At 36.6% G+C, this 19,493-nt stretch overlaps 1 protein-coding gene and 2 pseudogenes across 1 annotated transcript; 2 read left to right on the plus strand and 1 right to left on the minus strand.

Moving 5' to 3' along the window:
• Positions 1,769-2,707, plus strand: OR9K1P (olfactory receptor family 9 subfamily K member 1 pseudogene; annotated as a pseudogene).
• On the minus strand, positions 9,675-10,420 carry LOC644383 (heat shock transcription factor 2 pseudogene; annotated as a pseudogene).
• Positions 12,641-18,985, plus strand: OR9K2 (olfactory receptor family 9 subfamily K member 2). Its single transcript, NM_001005243.2, has 3 exons — positions 12,641-12,751; positions 13,063-13,146; positions 16,061-18,985. The coding sequence occupies exon 3, from the start codon at positions 16,070-16,072 to the stop codon at positions 17,009-17,011; it is 942 nt and encodes a 313-aa protein (NP_001005243.2). The 5' UTR covers positions 12,641-12,751; positions 13,063-13,146; positions 16,061-16,069; the 3' UTR covers positions 17,012-18,985.
• Positions 18,986-19,493: the final 508 nt, after the last annotated feature.

Genomic DNA, 19,493 nt, shown 5'->3' on the forward strand with positions numbered 1-19,493 from the left:
CTATGAGCCACCTATTATCTGATGATGAGTGGTTGGAATTTCTCTGTTAAATCTTCATTCCCTTAGCCCTAGTTTTACCATGATATTTAAGTGCAATCATTCTTGCAGACATTAACAGGAACACCTAGTGCTTTTCTTAACAACAAATTCAATTAGGATTATTTAAGTGGGTTTCAAGATGGAGCAGTGGGGGAGAGAAGAAATCTAGGAATCATATTGAGTTGTTAACCAGTTATTTTTCTTGTGAACTAAGTTGCTAACTTTTAAAAAATATATAGTATTGGGAGGAGAGGAGAAAGATCGGGTGATGAGAAGATGATAACAACGGGAGCTGAGTGATTTGGGGAGAAGATAAAGCAGACAGAAAGGTCACATGTGTGAGGGAAGATGAGAGCCAAGGCCAAAATATGGTGACTCTGTCATTCATGCCAAACCAAGATAGTACTTTTTAGATTGTTTTCTGCGTTTGAAAACCAGAAAGCCTGCAAATTTATAAGACAGAGAAATCTGACTACTTAAGATTTGTGTGATAGATTCAAAGTAACCATCATGACTATTTTAATACATTCAGAAACGGGCTGGGCACAGTGGCTCACGCCTGTAATCCCAGCATTTTGGGAGGCCGAGGCGGGCAGATTGCCTGAGGTCGGGAGTTTGAGACCAGCCTGGCCAACATGGCAAAACCCTGTCTCTATTAAAAATTACATAAATTAGCTGGGCGTGGTGGCGTGTGCCTATAGTCCCAGTTACTCTGGAGGTTGAGGCAGGAGAATCGCTTAAACCCAGGAGGCAGAGGTTTCAGTGAGCCACAATCGCACCACTGCACTCCAGCCTAGGCAACAGAGTGAGACACCCATCTCAAAAAAAAAAAAAAAAAAAAAGCTCTCAAAATTAATACACTTTTTTCCTAGCCAAAAATTTTATTCAGTTTATTGTGTTGAAGCTTCCTTTTTTTTTTTTTTTTTAATTCCACATGTGTTTAAGATTAACTTGGCTTCTTGATAGACCTGTGCAGGATTTGTAAGGTTCATGGATTTCTTTTCCTGGTAATGTGTCTGCACTTTGTCCACTTCACGAAGGTGATGATGCATTCTATTTTTAAGGGTTTTTTTTTTTTTTTAAGTTTAGGAGACTCAGTTAAATCCCTTGGTAACCTATTTCAAACTATCACAAACAGTTAATACTCTATTAATGTCTAATGTCTATTCATGGAGTCTTAAATCATTTTTAAATTTGATTCTTCTATTGTAAAATAGAAGCATTATTAAGAATAAAATAAATTTGAAATTACTAGCTAAAGATGACAACAAATATTTATACATCTCTCAAAACTTTCAGTTACTGTATATTAAACTTACCATGAATATCAAGTGAGGATCTAAACAGGTATAAAGAAAAGAGTGAAAGGCACATTGTCGTAATGGGAAGAGCACTGGGTTTGGAGAAACACATTAGAAATCAATGAGTTTGGTAACTTATATTTTTGTGAAGATGGGCAATTAAAATATACCTCATGTTGAGTTCCTATAAAAGGGTGCAGCAGTTCATGCCTAACAGAATTGGGTGGCCAAAAGGACATGACAACACAAATTTCAATATCCTCCACAACTAAAAAAACGGATATTTTATCATCCCGAGAAATAGGCAGAAAGTTCAATTTTTAACCTTGTCTTTTACCTTTTAATAGGTTCTTGCCATGGGTGAAAAGGGAACAGGCAGAAAGTTCAATTTTTAACCTTGTCTCATACCTTTTAACAGGTTCTTGCCATGGGTGACAAGGGAACAGGCAACCATTCAGATGTAACTGATTTCATTCTTGAAGGCTTCAGGGTCCGCCCAGAGTTCTACATTCTCCTCTTCTTCCTGTTCCTGCTGATCTATAGCATGGTTCTTTTGGGGAACATTAGTGTGATGACAATCATTGTAACTGATTCCCAGCTGAACACACCAATGTATTTTTTTCTAGGCAACCTCTCCTTCATTGACGTCTCCTACTCCACTGTTATTGCTCCTAAAGCCATGGCCCACTTCCTGTCTGAAAAAAAGACAGTCTCTTTTGCAGGTTGTGTTGCCCAGTTATTCCTTTTTGCCCTGTTCATTGTAACAGAGGGGTTTGTCCTGGCAGCCATGGCCTATGACCGCTTCAGTGCCATCTGCAATCCTCTTCTTCATAGTGTTCACATGTCAAGACGCCTCTGCACTCAGTTGGTTGCTGGTTCTTATTTCTGTGGCTGGGCCAGTTCCATCCTCCAAGTCAGTGTAACATTCTCAGTGTCCTTCTGTGCTTCCAGAGTCATTGCTCACTTCTACTGTGATTCTTATCAAATTGAAAAGATTTCCTGTTCTAATCTCTTTGTCAATAAGATGGTATCTCTGAGTTTGAGTGTCATCATTATTTTGCCTACAATTGTTGTTATTATAGTATCTTACCTGTATATTGTATCCTCAGTCTTGAAGATCCCCTCCAGTGAAGGGAGAAAGAAAGACTTTTCCACTTGCAGCTCCCATCTGGGTGTTGTAAGTTTGCTCTAAGGGACTGTTTCCTTTGTGTACCTCACACCTCCAAGCAATCCTGAACTTCGCAAAGTGGCTTCAGTATTTTACATATTGGTTACACCCATGTTAAACCCTCTGATCTACTCTCTAAGAAACAAAGATGTCAAAGAAGCTTTGAGAAAAATCCTGTGTAACAAAAAAGCTTTATCCTAATTCTACTTCCTTATGATTTCCTCATTAATGGGTCCATTGATTCTTTCATTTTGATTTGCTTTTAATATGGGGTCAAGCTTGAGTCACTTAAGATCCTTTAACATTGAACAAATAAAAGAGATTTAATAGGAGCAAACCTTGATATTTTCTTCGGCAATCCTTTCTATCGATTTTATCATATTTGGAAATCTGAAGTACTTACAATTTACATTTAAAAGCATATGCTTGAATCAGGAAAATCATAGCAATGTGGAAACAAAATACTACTTGAAAAATATAAATATCCTCATTCATTAAAATACAACATCGATACAAGAGTTAATGGATGCTGGGCTTCATACCTTGGTGATGGGATCATCTGAGCAGTAAACCACCATGGCACACATAACAAACCCGTACATCTGGCACATGTACCACTGAACTTAAAATAAAAGTTGAAGAAAAATTAAATGTGATCATTTTGTCTACCAAACATTTGTTGTATTGATGCTGTTTTTTGTTTTTCGTTTTTTGTTTTTTTTTTGAGACGTAGTCTCCCTCTGTCGCCCAGGCTGGAGTGCAGTGGCGCGATCTCGGTTCACTGTAAGCTTCACCTCCCGGGTTCACGCCATTCTCCTGCCTCAGCCTCCTGAGTAGCTGGGACCACAGGCGCCCACCACCATGCCCTGGCTAATTGTTTGTATTTTTAGTAGAAAGGGGGTTTCACCGTGTTAGCCAGGATGGTCTCGATCTCCTGACCTCGTGATCCGCCTGCCTCGGCCTCCCAAAGTGCTGGGATTACAAGCGTGAGCCACCGCGCCCGGCCTCCATATGAATGCTGTATTTTAATGAATGAGGGTATTTATATTATATGTGAAAGTATCAAGGTTTGCTGCTATTATATCTCTTTTATTTGTTCAATGGGATAAAATTGTAATGCTGATGTAAAGATGTAGAAGTAAGGGGATGTTGTAAAATATGTCATACTATTTCATGAATGTTTGCTTACTTCCATAATATCAGAATATATCAATTTAGCGAATCAATTTTTTGAAAGATCCCAGTGATCATAGGGAGTATGATCCAAATTCCTTTCAAAGTTTAAAAAAGGAAAGGTAGAATAGGGAGAGATGGGGAATAGCAGAGCAGAAGTACCCTGGCATGTAACATAATCTTAATAAAAAAAAAAGGCTTCTCAATTTTTATGCATTCCAATTAGAAAGTTAGAAAAATTTCTTAACCAAAGACCACAATATCTTTTATCACAGTAAAGATCATTTTTATACTATTCCAAATGTGGTTCTCTATTTAAAAAATAAATTTTATTCATTTCTTACCATTATTTCCAATAAGTCAATTTATATTATATCATCACCTTCTGTGTTTCAACTACAAACATCTCTTTTTCATTGGCTTTATTGAGTGTATTACAGGTAGGTTTACATGTATGTAAAACATTGAAAATCACTTTGGCTAAAGTAAACAAGAGGGATATATTGGGTATGTATGTGGAGCACACTAAATAAAGAGAAAAATGAGGGAAAAAGTCTTGCAATTTGTTAGGAATTAAGGCACCTCAACGAATCAAGGACAACTGCTAAAGAGTCTGCTAGTAGAATCCAGTCTCACTGAGTGTTACATGTGAACTCCATGCATTTTCAAACTTTTTTTTTCATTTGATGTAAATTTGAGTTCTGATAGAGAGTATCATGTAGACCAAGTTTTGGGTAGTAGCCTGCCCTTATACTAGAGGATGGCTAGACCCTTGATTATGACTTTATCTAATTGGAAGTTATGAAATCCTCAAAGCATAATGGCACACCTAGTAAGTGGCTAAAATTTAAAAAACGGACAATATTAAATACTGGTGAGGATGCAGAGTAATAGGAATGCTCATTCATTGCTGTTGGGGATGGAAAATAGTACAGCAGACAGTGTGGCAGCTATGCAGCCAATTAACTGTACAAGCCAGCATTTGTGCTTCTGTGTATTTATCTCACTGATTTGAAAACTTATGTTCACATAAAAACTGCACATGAAATATCTGTCTTTCTGTGTCCAGCTTGTTTCACTTAAGGTAATAACCTCCAGTTATTAATTGTTGCAAAAGACATGATTTCATCCTTTTATGGCTGCATAGTATTCCATTGTATATGTATACCACATTTTCTTTACCCAGTCATCCATTGATGGACTCTTAGGTTGATTCCAAATCTTTGCTATTGTGAATAGTGCTGCAATAAACATTCAAGTTCAATTATCTTTTTGATGTATTGATTTCTTTTCCTTTGGGTAGATACCCAGTAGTGGTATTCCTGGATCAAACTGTAGTTCTATTTTTAGTTCTTTGAGAAACCTCTATACTGTTTTTCATAGAGGTTGTACTGATTTATACTCTCGCCAACAGCATATAAGTGTATGCTGTATTTTTCAACTCCATCAGCTCATTTATGTTTTTCTCTAACCTGGTTATTCTAGTTAGCAATTCCTCTAACCTTTTTTCAAGGTTCTTAGCTTCCTTGCATTGGGTTAGAACATGCTCCTTTAGCTTGGAGGAGTTTTTTATTACCCAGCTTCTGAAGCCTACTTTTGTCAATTTGTCAAACTCATTCTTCATCCACTTTTTTTCCCTTCATGGTGAGGAGTTGTAATCCTTTGGATAAGAAGAGGCATTCTGGTTTTGGGGATTTTCAGCCTTTGTGCACTTTGGGCACTTTTTTCCAGCTTCATCCATGTCCCTAAGCTTCTCTAATGCTATTCCACATTTGGAATAGTATAAAAATGATCTTTACTGTGATAAAAGATATTGTGGTCTTTGGTTAAGAAACTTTTCTAACTTTCTAATTGGAATGCATAAAAATTGAGAAGGCTTTTTTTTTATTAAGATTATGTTACATGCCAGGGTACTTCTGCTCTGCTATTCCCCATCTCTCCCTATTTTACCTTTCCTTTTTTAAACTTTGAAAGGAATTTGGATCATACTCCCTATGATCACTGGGATCTTTCAAAAAATTGATTCGCTAAATTGATATATTCTGATATTATGGAAGTAAGCAAACATTCATGAAATAGTATGATATATTTGACAACATCCCCTTACTTCTACAGCTTTTTTAAGTTTTAACAAACGGCTAATATCCAGAATCTACACATAACTTAAACAAATGTACAAGAAAAAAACGAACAACACCATTAAAAAGTGGGTGAAGGATATGAACAGACACTTCTCAAAAGAAGACTTTTATGTGGCCAACAAACATACGAAAAAAAGCTCATCGTCGCTGGTCATTGGAGAAATGCAAATCAAAACCACAATGAAATACCATCTCATGCCAGTTAGAATGGCGATCATTAAAAAGTCAGAAAACAACAGATGCTGAAGAGGATGTGGTGAAATAGGAATGCTTTTACACTGTTGGTGGAAGTGTAAATTAATTCAACCATTGTGGAAGACAGTGTGGCGATTCCTCAAGGATCTAGAACCAGAAATACCATTTGACCCAGCAATCCCATTACTGGGTATATACTCAAAAGATTATAAATCATTCGACTATAAGAACTCATGCACTTGTATGTTTATTGCCACACTATTCACAATAGCAAAGACTTGGAACAACCAAAATTCCCATTAATGATAGACTGGATAAAGAAAATACGGCACATATACACCATGGAATACTATGCAGCCATAAAAAAGGATGAGTTCATGTCCTTTGCAGGGACATGGATGAAGCTGGAAACCATCATTGTCAGCAAACACACACAGGAACAGAAAACCAAACACAGCATGTTCTCACTCATAAGTGTGAGTTGAAAAATGAGAACACATGGACACAGGGAGGGGAACATCACACAACAGGGCCTGTTGGGGGGTGAAGGGCTACGGGAGGGATAGCATTAGGAGAAATACCTAATGTAGATGAGGGGTTGATGGTTGCAGCAAACCATCATGGCATGTGTATACCTACGTAACAAACCTGCACGTTCTGACATGTATCCCAAAACTTAAAGAATAATAAAAAAAGGTTATTGGTATTCATATACTTACAAAAGGTTTCATTAGTATATGAATTTGTTTTAATGATTAAATTATGAAATTCCTGTAAAAGTGCTTAAAAAAATGCTTGGCTCAAATTAAATTTTGAATACATTTAATAAATTATTTTGTTACTGCAGTTGTCGCAAGTTACTTCAAAATTTTTTTTTTAAATAAGATGTATTAGTCATGGTTCTCTAGACGGACAGGTCTAATAGGATAGATGCATACATGAAAGGAAGTTTATTAAGAAGTATTTACTCATATGATCACAAGGTGAAGTCCCACAATAGGCTGTTTGTAAACTGAGGAGCAAGGAAACCAGTCCGAGTCCTAAAATCTCAAAAGTAGGGAAGCTGACAGTGCAGCCTTCAGTTCTGTGGCCAAAGGCCTGAGAGCGCTTGGCAAACCACTGGTGTAGGTTCAGGAGTCAAAAAGCTGAAGAACTTGGAATCCAATATTCGAGGGCAGGAAGCATCCAGCACAGGAGAAAGATGGGGGCCAGAAGACTTAGCCGGTCTAGTCCTTCCATGTTCCTCTGCCTGCTTTTATCCTAGCTTCACTTCGCTGGCAGCTGAATAGATGGTGCCCACCAGATTGAGGATGGGTCTGCCTCTCCCAGTCCACTGACTCAACTGTTAATCTCCTTTGGCAACACCCTCACAGACACACCCAGGAACAATACTTTGCATCCTTCAATCCGATCATGTTGACACTCAATATTAACCATCACAAATGAACTATAAATGAATTCAATAAATTAAAAATGAATGAGCACTTATGCTGCACTCGAAATTATGATAAGTGTTACTGAATCTTGCAAGTAATGCATTGCATTGTAAGGAGCTGAAAATTCAATTGTAAATGTAAAATGACATTCATTAAATAATCAAATCATAAATAGATACTATCATATATAGGGATAACTATAATAATATTTAAAAAGAGTATGGAGAAGTGATGCCAAGTTTGGCTACTGTAGCAAGACAGTGGTAATTCTGGGGAGATACGAATGGAATCTTAAATATTGGTAGGATTTAGAACTAGATTCAAAGAGAATGTATCAGGTATAATTAAAATCAACGTGTTAAGCCTATACTGTGCAAGATGAATGGATGCAGTGAGACATCTCATCTGGTTTCACAGAGATTACAATTTGGAGAGTAATAGAAATCCCAATTTGCTAAATAGGAAATTGGGAAGTAACAAAATCTCTTAAGAAAGAAGTGACATGATTAAAATAGTGTTTGAGAAAGATAAATCTGGAAGCTTAAAAAGTAAATGCTGAGGAGAAAAAGTAAATCAGATAGGATTTTTAAAAAATAACGTTCAAGTTGAGTTGAGTAGGTACCGAATCTGGATTATCAGTGTAGTAGTGAAAATATAGAAAAAAGGGGAAACCCGGGGTTAATTATGAAGCACTATATTAAAAATATTATATGAGAAAGTAGAAAACATAGTGTTACCACTTACAGAAGTTTGATAACTAGCCTATTAATAAAAAAGCCTATTAATAAATGTCACCAGTAGGCAATTGTATTAGTCTATCCTCACACTGCTATAAAGATATACCTGAGATTGGGTAATTTATAAAGAAAGAGGTTTAATTTACTCACAGTTCTGTATGGTTGGAGAGGCATAAGGAAACTTACAATCATGGCAGAAGGTGAAGGGGAAGCAAGTACCTTCTTCACACCGCGGCATGAGAGAGAGATAGTGAGGGGGAAACTGCCACAGACTTTTAAACCATCAGATCTTGTGAGAAGTCACTCACTATCACAAGAACAGCATGGGGGAAACCACCCCATGATCCAATCACTCCCACCACTTCCCTCCCTCAACACACAAGGATTACAATTTGAGATGAGATTTGAGTGGGGACACAGAGCCAAACCATATCAGCAATGCAGATGTGTGTGTGTGTGTGTGTGTGTGTGTGTGCATGTAAGCTTATCATGTATGGCCTTTATTGTGTTGAGGTATAGGTATATTTCTTCTCCACATGTTTTTTTGAGAGTTTTTATTATATTATTAAAAGATGTTTGATTTTGTCGAATTTTTTTTTCTGCATCTATTGAGATGATCATATGGTTTATGTTCTTCATTATGTTAATATAGTATACCATATTTATAGATTTGTGTTTGTGTGTTTGCACTCTGGGATAAATTTCACTTGATCAACTTCTATGGATTTATCTACAGAGGACATAACTTCTGATGATGCTGTTGTACTCACCTGTTCAACCGAAGAAACAGGGTTCCCATCGAGGAATGCAAGAAGTGGAAAGGCATGTACTGGATAAGCTGCTAATGTGGCCTGGATTTAGATTTTCTTCCCTCTTCCCAAACTGACTGAACTACATTGTTCTTGGTAGTTTCTAATCCTTTTTTCTCAGAGTCAACCAGGAGACCTGGGTCTATGCTAAATTGTCTTCCTGACAGCATGGCTTGGAAGTCGTCTAAACTGCAATCAGTACTGTCAAGATAATCCAACAACTCAACCTTTCCCAAAAGATTGATGTTATCATTCAAAATGGAATCCATCATGGTCACTGGATCTTCTGAGGTCAGACTGGATGAGCCATTTAGCTGGACAGCACTAGACATGAGAGGGTTGCTGCCATCACTGCCTGAACTTAGGGATTCTCTGGCTGGTTCACTCTGCTCTCCACTCTGAATGGCAGGTGCATACTCATCTTCATTGTCATCTTCAAAGACGACAATATCAGGGTACTGGCTACAATTGGAGGGATCAGACATAACATCCTGGAGAGATATATATACACATATACATATATGATATATGGATATGATATAATATCCCAGTTTCCCAGTTTCTGGAATAACTGGGATATTTTCTTCATTTGCATTATCATCAGTAACATTGTAAATAATGATGTCATCTGAAATCATCTCCCTTGGCTTTAAACCTTCAGTCCTACTGTGTGGAACTTTATGATGGTGATTATCAGTAGGTTCTCTGACTATGTGCTGAAACAGATTCTTTTGGGCTCCATTGGTGTTTAAAGTAGAGGACTTTTACATTTTAAACTCACAAGTTGGTTATTTTGAACCAATGCAACAGTAAACTGGACAATCTTTTGAATAACTTGTTCCTGTTGTGCATGCTTTGCTCATAATTCTGACATCTCCTTCCAAAGGGACTCATTCTCACTTTTTAATTCAGAAATCCTGTACTCAATAGTTTCCTGTTTTATTGAAACCTTCTGAGCACTACTTATAATTTTTTTTAAATTCTTCCTGAAGAATTTTTTTTTATTCTGGTTTTGAAGATGAAACCTTCCTTTTAATGTTCTCCAACAAGTCATCCTGTCCTTGTTTGAAGTAAGGATGCTGAAATTCTACAGGACCATCTCTTTCCTGCTTTACAATTTCAGAGTCGATATGTACTGCTTTACGGAAATCATACATATTCAGTTGCCTCACAAAGCTTGCCATGTTATTGTGCTTGAAATATTTGGGAAGAATTTCTTTTGCAAATCGTTGCTCATCCAAGACCAGAAAACTTTGGCCATTCTGGTTCCAGGTGATGAATTCCTTAGTGTGGGTTTCCTCCACAAGAGTCCACAGCTTGCTGAGGAAAGTTGGCAGTTCAAACTCTGCTTCCTTGTTAACAGGTGCACAGGGATTCCAAATTCTACATCCAAATGCGGTGGTAGCATCGGCGGCAGCGACCGGAATAATTTATTAAAGATTCAGTTGTTGGACCAACTGGATGTCATTACTTTAGAAAGGTGAGTAACTGTCATCCAGGATATAATCTGTGCTCTTCATTAGCGACAAATATATGAAACAATTACAGGTCCAAGTACAAGGAGTCAAAATGGGATTGTCAGCCACCACTGTAAAACCTATCAACTCACTCTCAATTTTTTTTTGCTGGATGCTTGCATGACATTTGTCCCTGCTGAATGAATATTCTTACTGCTTAACGGAGAGATAATTTTACTAGGGGAACACAACAATTGATAAAATGAGCTCTAAATTCAGTCTCCTTACTGAATTTACATTCATTTTGCTGAACCAACTGAGAGGTGAAGCTGGCTGGGCTTCTGGGTGGGGTGGGGACTTGGAGAGCTTTTCTGTTTAGCTAAAGGATTGTAAACACACCAATCAGCACTCTGTGTCTAGGTAAAGGTTTGTAAATGCACCAATCAGCACTCTGTAAAAACGGACCAATCAGCACTCTGAAAAATGGACCAATCGGTGCTCTGTAAAATGGACCAATCAGCAGGACGTGGGTGAGGACAAATAAGGGGATAAAAGCAACCCACTAGATTCCCCTTCCACCCTGTGGAAGCTTTGTTTTTCAGCTTAGCAACAAATCTTGCTGCTGCTCACTCTTTGGGGCCCTGCTGCCCTTATGAGCTGTAAAATTCACCACCAAGGTCTGCAGCTTCACTCCTGAAGCAAGCCAGACTACAAACCCACCCGAAGAAAGAACAGCTCTGGAGGTGCCACCTTTATGAGCTGTAACACTCATTGCAAAGGTCTGAAGCTTCACTCCTTTTTGTTTTTTTTCTTTTCTTTTTTTGTTTTTGTTTTTTAATTATTATTAGACTTTAAGTTCTAGGGTACATGTGCGCAACGTGCAGGTGTGTTACATATGTATACATGTGCCATGTTGGTGTGCTACACCCATTAACTCATCATTTACATTAGGTATATCTCCTAATGCTATCTGTCCCCCCCCGCCACCTCAGGACAGGCCCCGGTGTCTGATGTTCCCCACCCTGTGTCCAAGTGTTGTAGTTGTTCAATTCCCACCTATGAGTGAGAACGTGCGGTGTTTGGTTTTCTGTCCTTGCCATAGTTTGCTGAGACTGATGGTTTCCAGCTTCATCCGTGTCCCAACAAAGGACATGAACTCATCCTTTTTTATGACTGCATAGTATCCCATGGTGTATATGTGCCACATTTTCTTAATCCAGTCTATCATTGTTGGACATTTGGGTTGGTTCCAAGTCAGCGAGACCACAAACCCACCGGGAGGAACGAACAACTCCAGACATGCCACCTTTAAGAGATTTTAAGAGCTGTAACTCACTTTTGAAGTCAGTGAGACCACAAACCCACCAGAAGGAAGAAACTCTGGACACATCTAAATATCTGAAGGAACAAACTCCGGACACACCACCTTTAAGAACTTTAACACTCACCGGAAGGAACCAACAGTTCTTTAAATTATTTTGAACTATATACAGGGACTGATGAGAAGTTACTAACTTAATACATGACACCTGAATAAACAACTTTAAAGCAATTAAAATTACAATATAAACCCAACTTTAGATCCAGTTAATCATGTGGCCTTTACTTGATGGATTAGAGGGCGTTTGTTGGATTTTTGCCCATATCATGGTCGTGCTGTTCTATCTTTCTTCTCAATTACTATTGAGAAAATATAGTTTAAAAAGTCATCAAGGAGAGATTTGGGTGAATAGAATTCTGAAAGTAAATATGAAATTAACTTTATGATTAGGACTCAAAATTTTCCTACAAATGGCATTATGAACCACAACATTTCCTTTCGTATCTATTTCTACTTGCTTATCAAAAACTGTGCTATAATGATAAATTGAAAATGCTGCTTTTTCAGTGAAGAAATTAAAATTAAAAGATCCTTGTGATTTTTCCTAAAGAATGTCTCATATGTACTTTAAGTACTCTTAGGCTTTTTAAAAAAATATAGAATCTCTGAGGTCTTCATGGATCTTGCTTTTAGATCCTAGAAGTCTTACTAATTAATTGACTTGTGTTCTTCTCTCCCAGAGGTACTGTCTCCCAGAACATAGAGGAAATCTCAATACTGTAATTATATGAAAAAGCTGTAGCAAAACCGAAGCCCTCGTGGATAACTGCTGTTGATATTTTGGCAGTATTCAGAGATGCCAAAGAGCTCAGGACCTCTACTTGCATATCCATGGCAATCTATCCTCTTGCCTTGAAAGCATACAAGTTTCTGAGAATTCAGGATAGATAATATCTTGTGGATTGATTCCTCAGGTTCACTTTGCTTATCTATAGATTTTTGTTCCTGGAATCACTTCAGTTTTGGCAGAACATGATTTGAAAAATTCACCTTGACTCTCTTCTAAAAAGGACTATAAAACTTTTCAGGAAATCAACTACTGAAAAAAAGACTTTTTAAAATAGAGCAATGAGGCACATAAGCCACATTTATCTATGGGAAGAATCTAAAACTGTAATAATAAATGTGGATTTGTGGGGAATGATTCATTTTATTTCAAAGTAATTATTTTTCAGTATTTATAATTATGACAGTCATTAATTAACTTTATGTTTATCCTTTCTAGAATTAAAACAATAAACAGAGGAAAACATTGGAACTCTGCTGATTGATTTTTACCAGAATCTGACCAGTTACTAAACAATACAAGGTAAAAGTAACTTAAAACCTGTAAGTTTTTGAAAAATAAGTCACAAACTGACTACTTGTTGTTGGCTTCTGCGGGAATAACTCCCTTTTCCAGGTAAAAAATGTCATCAGCAATGCATTTATTAACATTTATAATGTTACAATGTTTATAACATTTATGATATAAATTTATTTTAATAAGTTTGTTTTTTTATATTCTCTGATTCCACATACTCATTATCATTCAGCTTTTTTCTACGTAATAATATGTATTGAATTATTGTCATTCACTAGATTCAGAACATTATGTTGACAATACGCAGCAAACAAGCTGAGTTTGATGTTAAGGATATTATTGTCAAGTGAGGAATAATTACTATTAATAATAATATTAAATTCTAATGTTGAAATGAGTTTGATAGAAATAAATCTTAGAAATTAAAATAATCTGTTTTGCTTCTAGATGAGAATAAAATGAAGATAAATTATATATATTATTTTTCAAAAAATGATTTTTCATGCTGACTTCAGTCAGCTTTCTTTCACTTCTTAAATGTCTCACATCTTTCCAGACCCTAAGTGCAATCTAATGTAAGCTCTTACTACTTCTTAATTACTTACATATTTAATTTTTGATAAAATGGGTGAATATTTTATTTTCAACATTTAATACAGTCTTAAATAATGATAACATCTTATTCAGCTTTTCTCTTAATAATCTTTTTTCTCAGGCAAAATATTCCATTTCTCCAAGAGTTCTTCATCTCTCTAAACTTTTAACAGATTGATTCTTCCCCTCAACTGAGAATGTTTTGTCCAAAAACGACCATATATATTATTGGTTTTCAACCTAATAAGCACTATTTGGTATGAATAGTGGGACTGAGCACTGAAACGTATAATAAAAATAATGGCTAACATTTACTGAATACTTAGTTTACCATAAATGGTGCTAAGTGATTTACATACGTATGTCATTTTCTATTCCCAAGAAAACTTTGAGGACTCTTATTTCCACTTTATATATGAGAATACAGTAGCATAGAGAGAGAGCATAAGTAACTTGTCCAAGATCCCATTTAGAAAGTGAGAGAAGCAGAACTGGAGCCTAGATTTATTTAAACCTAAAACCCATACTAACCACTGCAGTATTGGATGGATAGTTTTTATATTTTTCTCTGTTTCTGCATGATCATTATCATTCAACTTTTATCTATAGTAAATATGTATTAACTGCCATTTACCAGACACATAACGTTATGCTGACAATATATGGAGAACAAATTGAATTTTGTCTTAAGTTATTGTCAAGTGAAGAATAATTAATATGTAACCTCAATATTAAAATATGGTGGCAGTTGGTCTCTTCAAATTATCTTTGGATGAGATGTTTTGACCCAGGTTGAAGAATTAGAGATTTTATTTGGAAATATGAAATTTTAACTACACTCTAAAGTACAAGCAGAAGTAAGGTAGGGGAACAGGAAGGGTCCTTTATTTAAAGTTGATATAGTACAGTGATTAATCATTAATGATGATTAAAAGCATGGATTCTGGAGCCAGTTTTCCTGGCTTCAAATCTTGATTCTGACTCAAGTAAGTGAATTTCAGCAGACTTCATTTCTCTGTACCTCAATTTACTCATCTGTAAACTTGGGAATATAATAATAACCACCTAATGTTATTATTGAATGGATTAAATGAGCTACTATGAAAGCATTTAGAAAAGTGTCTGGCACATAAAAAGTGCCATATACATATTTGTTATTATTGTTGCCTAGACAGAATCATGCACATAAAGCCCTTAGGACAGAGAAAGAGTGGCTTGTATTGTTAACATACGAAGTTAAAAAATCTATTTGAGCAGTAATGAGTTAATAATGGCTACAAAAGTTGTATTCAGGGCAAATAAAAGTGTAATCAGCAATGCCCCCATATGTATCCTTTGCAGTATTAATTCCTAAAGTAACTCTTTTATCTGTGGAAGAGTTCTACTGTAGATCTCTTTTTAAAGAACTGCAAGTCACATGGACACATAGAGGGGAAAAACACACACTGGAGCCTTTTGCAGGGTGGAAGGTGGGAGGAGGGAGAGGATCAGGAAAAATAACTAATGGGTACTAGGCTTAATACCCTGGTGATTAAATGATCTGTACAGCAAAACCCCATGACACAAGTTTACCTATGTGACAAACGTGCACTTGCACCCCTGAACTTAGAAGTTAAAGATCTCCAAGTCTTGGGATCAAGAAATGAAGGGAAGTTTTCTTTATGAAAGTGCTTTGATGGCCCATCTGGGACAGAAATTCTTGAATATGAGTAGTAATAATTTTGTGCTTGGTTGCACACACCTTTTATCTTAGTGGGTACATAACTTCCATCAGAATCCAGTTTCCATGACTTGTGAAAGGTAATTGCACTTCTCAAGTAGGTTTTTTTTTTTAACTCAGTCACTTCCTTTATATTTGTTGGTACTCCAAATTAAGTCTCTGTTTTCCTAAACTTGGCTACTAAAACCCCAAATATCTCCCAACCCAAACTAACTAATGTGCTTCCCAAAGTCGTTTTTAAAATTAATTGTGCTCTCTTCCAGTCACTGCTTCATGATGTTGAAGTTATTGTGTGAATCATGAGTGGGAAATGTATAAAGAAGTGATACTTGGAAATGTGAAAGGCATTTGGGTAGAAAGGCATTGTATTAGATGCAGAGGCAAAAAACCTAACTCTAACACTTAAAGAAATAAGAAATGCAACTAATCTTTGGTTTCAACAGCAATTGATTGGCTTTAAGTCACAGTATACTTATGAGGCAAAAATTAATAATAACATTAATTTAAAAATAGCTTTGTAAATCCTAATACCATAAGAGATTATTTGTAATGCTAGGATCCAAACCAAGAGTTCATTTGTATATTTTGCCCTGTGCCTCTCAACAGGTTTCTACCATGGGTGACAGGGGAACAAGCAATCACTCAGAAATGACTGACTTCATTCTTGCAGGCTTCAGGGTACGCCCAGAGCTCCACATTCTCCTCTTCCTGCTATTTTTGTTTGTTTATGCCATGATCCTTCTAGGGAATGTTGGGATGATGACCATTATTATGACTGATCCTCGGCTGAACACACCAATGTATTTTTTCCTAGGCAATCTCTCCTTCATTGATCTTTTCTATTCATCTGTTATTGAACCCAAGGCTATGATCAACTTCTGGTCTGAAAACAAGTCTATCTCCTTTGCAGGCTGTGTGGCCCAGCTCTTTCTCTTTGCCCTCCTCATTGTGACTGAGGGATTTCTCCTGGCGGCCATGGCTTATGACCGCTTTATTGCCATCTGCAACCCTCTGCTCTACTCTGTTCAAATGTCCACACGTCTGTGTACTCAGTTGGTGGCTGGTTCCTATTTTTGTGGCTGCATTAGCTCAGTTATTCAGACTAGCATGACATTTACTTTATCTTTTTGCGCTTCTCGGGCTGTTGACCACTTTTACTGTGATTCTCGCCCACTTCAGAGACTGTCTTGTTCTGATCTCTTTATCCATAGAATGATATCTTTTTCCTTATCATGTATTATTATCTTGCCTACTATCATAGTCATTATAGTATCTTACATGTATATTGTGTCCACAGTTCTAAAGATACATTCTACTGAGGGACATAAGAAGGCCTTCTCCACCTGCAGCTCTCACCTGGGAGTTGTGAGTGTGCTGTATGGTGCTGTCTTTTTTATGTATCTCACTCCTGACAGATTTCCTGAGCTGAGTAAAGTGGCATCCTTATGTTACTCCCTAGTCACTCCCATGTTGAATCCTTTGATTTACTCTCTGAGGAACAAAGATGTCCAAGAGGCTCTAAAAAAATTTCTAGAGAAGAAAAATATTATTCTTTGATTATTATTTCTCTTTCACCAATTTTATTGTGGCTATTTATTTAATACACCTGTGTTCATTAATAAAAGTTACTCTCCCGAATGTCATAAAAATACTCTTAGATGTTTTCATGTGATGTGCTCTTTCCATATTTTACTTTTTTACCTCCCAAGACATCATTAATTCTGAAAATCTTGGATATTGGAGATATCCTGGACATTAGAGAAGTATTTTCATGATAAACCCTCTCACTGGTCTTCAACATTTTATTTCACAGAATTTATATCTATTGATTCTTGTGGCATAATGTAGAACAATATTTTGTATTTTGTTATAGTGCTTCAGCAAGATTTTATCTGGTGTTTGTCTTTGGGATTGCCCATCCCTCCTACACACAATCATGGGTAGTTGACAAAGATGCCCAGATTATTTTTAAATAAAATATGTCTTTAATTTTATAGCTAGTTTCATTAGCATGCTAAATGAGTATTCAGTTTTCACCTTATGTGTGCTAGATAGGAAGTACTAATAATAAGAAACAAACTATAAGTAATCTTTATACATTAATTTGGAAAATGTTGTACTTCATTATTGTGGAGTGCTCTAAGGTACTGCTAGTTGCTGAATCCCAGTGCAAAGAACTAAAATAGGAAATAGAGATCTTCAAACATTTTGATCAATCATGCCCTCAATTTTGATCTTCATGATTTTGTCTTGTGTTAATAATTGATAAGGAATAGTTAATAAAGGTATAGAATCAGGGAAGTCATCAAAACGGATTATGATCCAAAATTTACTTATCTATGCCTCTTAATATAGGTATATATTTGATTAATCTTATTGAATATCTGTATAATATGTTCTGGCCTTACAGTGGGCTCAGGGATAAATAACCTCATTCTTTTGAAAGTTTAAAAGTTAGTGAGATACTGAAATCCTTGGGCATAAAACCAAAATCCAGACATTTTGCCAAAGGTACTCATAGAGATCACAAAGTGGGGTGCCTGAAAGAAGGTGGTTGGTAATCAGAGAAACCCTTCTTGGGCTGCATGGAACATTGCGCAAAGGGGGATTAGATTGAAGTCAGGAAACCTGCTGCAGTGGTTTATAATATTGATGTGGGCTCAATGGTATGTCGATATTAATGAACAAAGGCAGATTTTTTAAACTGCAGGTAAAAGACCCAAAATATATTAACTGACTAGTATGAAGAGAATGTACAAAAGATGGTATGTTAGCCCATTTTTGAAATTGAGTGTGTGCATGGTCATGGTCTGAATAGATAAAAAGTATAGGAGCTCTCAGAAAACCTGAAATAAAGGGGGAACTTTCTTGCCTTGATGAACATGTATGAAAAACCTACAGTGAACATTTTAAATGACAAGAAACTAGAAGCTTTCCTACTATTATCAGGAAAAATGCAAGGATGCCTTCTCTCACCACACCTTTTCAATATTTTAATGGAAGTGCTAGCCAATGCAACAAAATGAGAAAAGGAAATAAAAGTGTTATGGGTTGAATGGTATTCCCTCAAAATTCATGTGTTGAAGCCCTAAACCCTAGTACTTCAGAATGTGACTTTAATTAGTGATAGGGTCTTCAAAGATGTAATTGAGTTAAAATAAGGCTGTAAGATAAATCCTAATTCAGTATCATTTGTGTCCCTATAGAAAGAGGAGATTAGGGCACACAGAGGGACACCAGGGGTGCATGTGCACAGAACATCAGTCATGTGAAGAATCAACAAGAGGGCAGCCATCTGCAAGCTAAGGAAAGAGGGCTCAGAGAAAACCAACTCTGCTGACACCTTGATCTTGGGCTTCCAGCCTCTATCACTAAGAAAATTAATTTCTGTTGTTTAAGAACCCAGTGTGTGGTGTTTTGTTATGGGATCTCCAGCAAATTCATACAAATAGGTCTATAAATTGGAAAAGAAGAGAAAACGTTCCTTGTTTGCAGATAACATATCTATGTAGAAAATTAAAAATAATAAACCCTTCTGAAACTAATAAGTGGTTACAGCAGAGTTGCTGTATATAAGGTTAATATACAAATGCCAATTTCTTTTTTACATACCAGCAATGAATATTTGGATTTTAAAATTAAGAAAATGACTGTGTAGGTGATATCAGCAAGATGGCAGTATAGGAATTTCTAGCCCTGATTCCCTCACAGAAACATTAATTTGACAATGAACCAAAATACTTTTATGAGAATTCTAGAATGCACTTAAGAAGTTGCAGTACCCCCAGGCAACCACAAAGCCAAGGAAAGCGACAATGAAATGGGTAAGAAGAGAAATTTCATTTTGCCCACATCACCTACTCTACCAAGCTGGCACAGCTCTGCACTAGGACAGCACCCTGCCTCATGACTTCTCCCTTGGGAACAAAGATAACAGTGCAGAATCCAATATTGTAGCTTTTCAGAGGGCTGCAGGAGGGACTAATTTCTATCATTCTCCACTAAGAGCACTGATGGAACTAGTATAGTTTTAGTGCCT

The sequence above is a fragment of the Homo sapiens genome, chromosome 12 (assembly GCF_000001405.40).
Source record: "Homo sapiens chromosome 12, GRCh38.p14 Primary Assembly".
NCBI lineage: Eukaryota > Metazoa > Chordata > Mammalia > Primates > Hominidae > Homo > Homo sapiens.

Excerpts from the sequence above, each read along its gene's own strand:
- OR9K2 (NM_001005243.2), top strand. The coding sequence starts at position 16,070 with ATGGGTGACAGGGGAACAAGCAATCACTCAGAAATGACTGACTTCATT.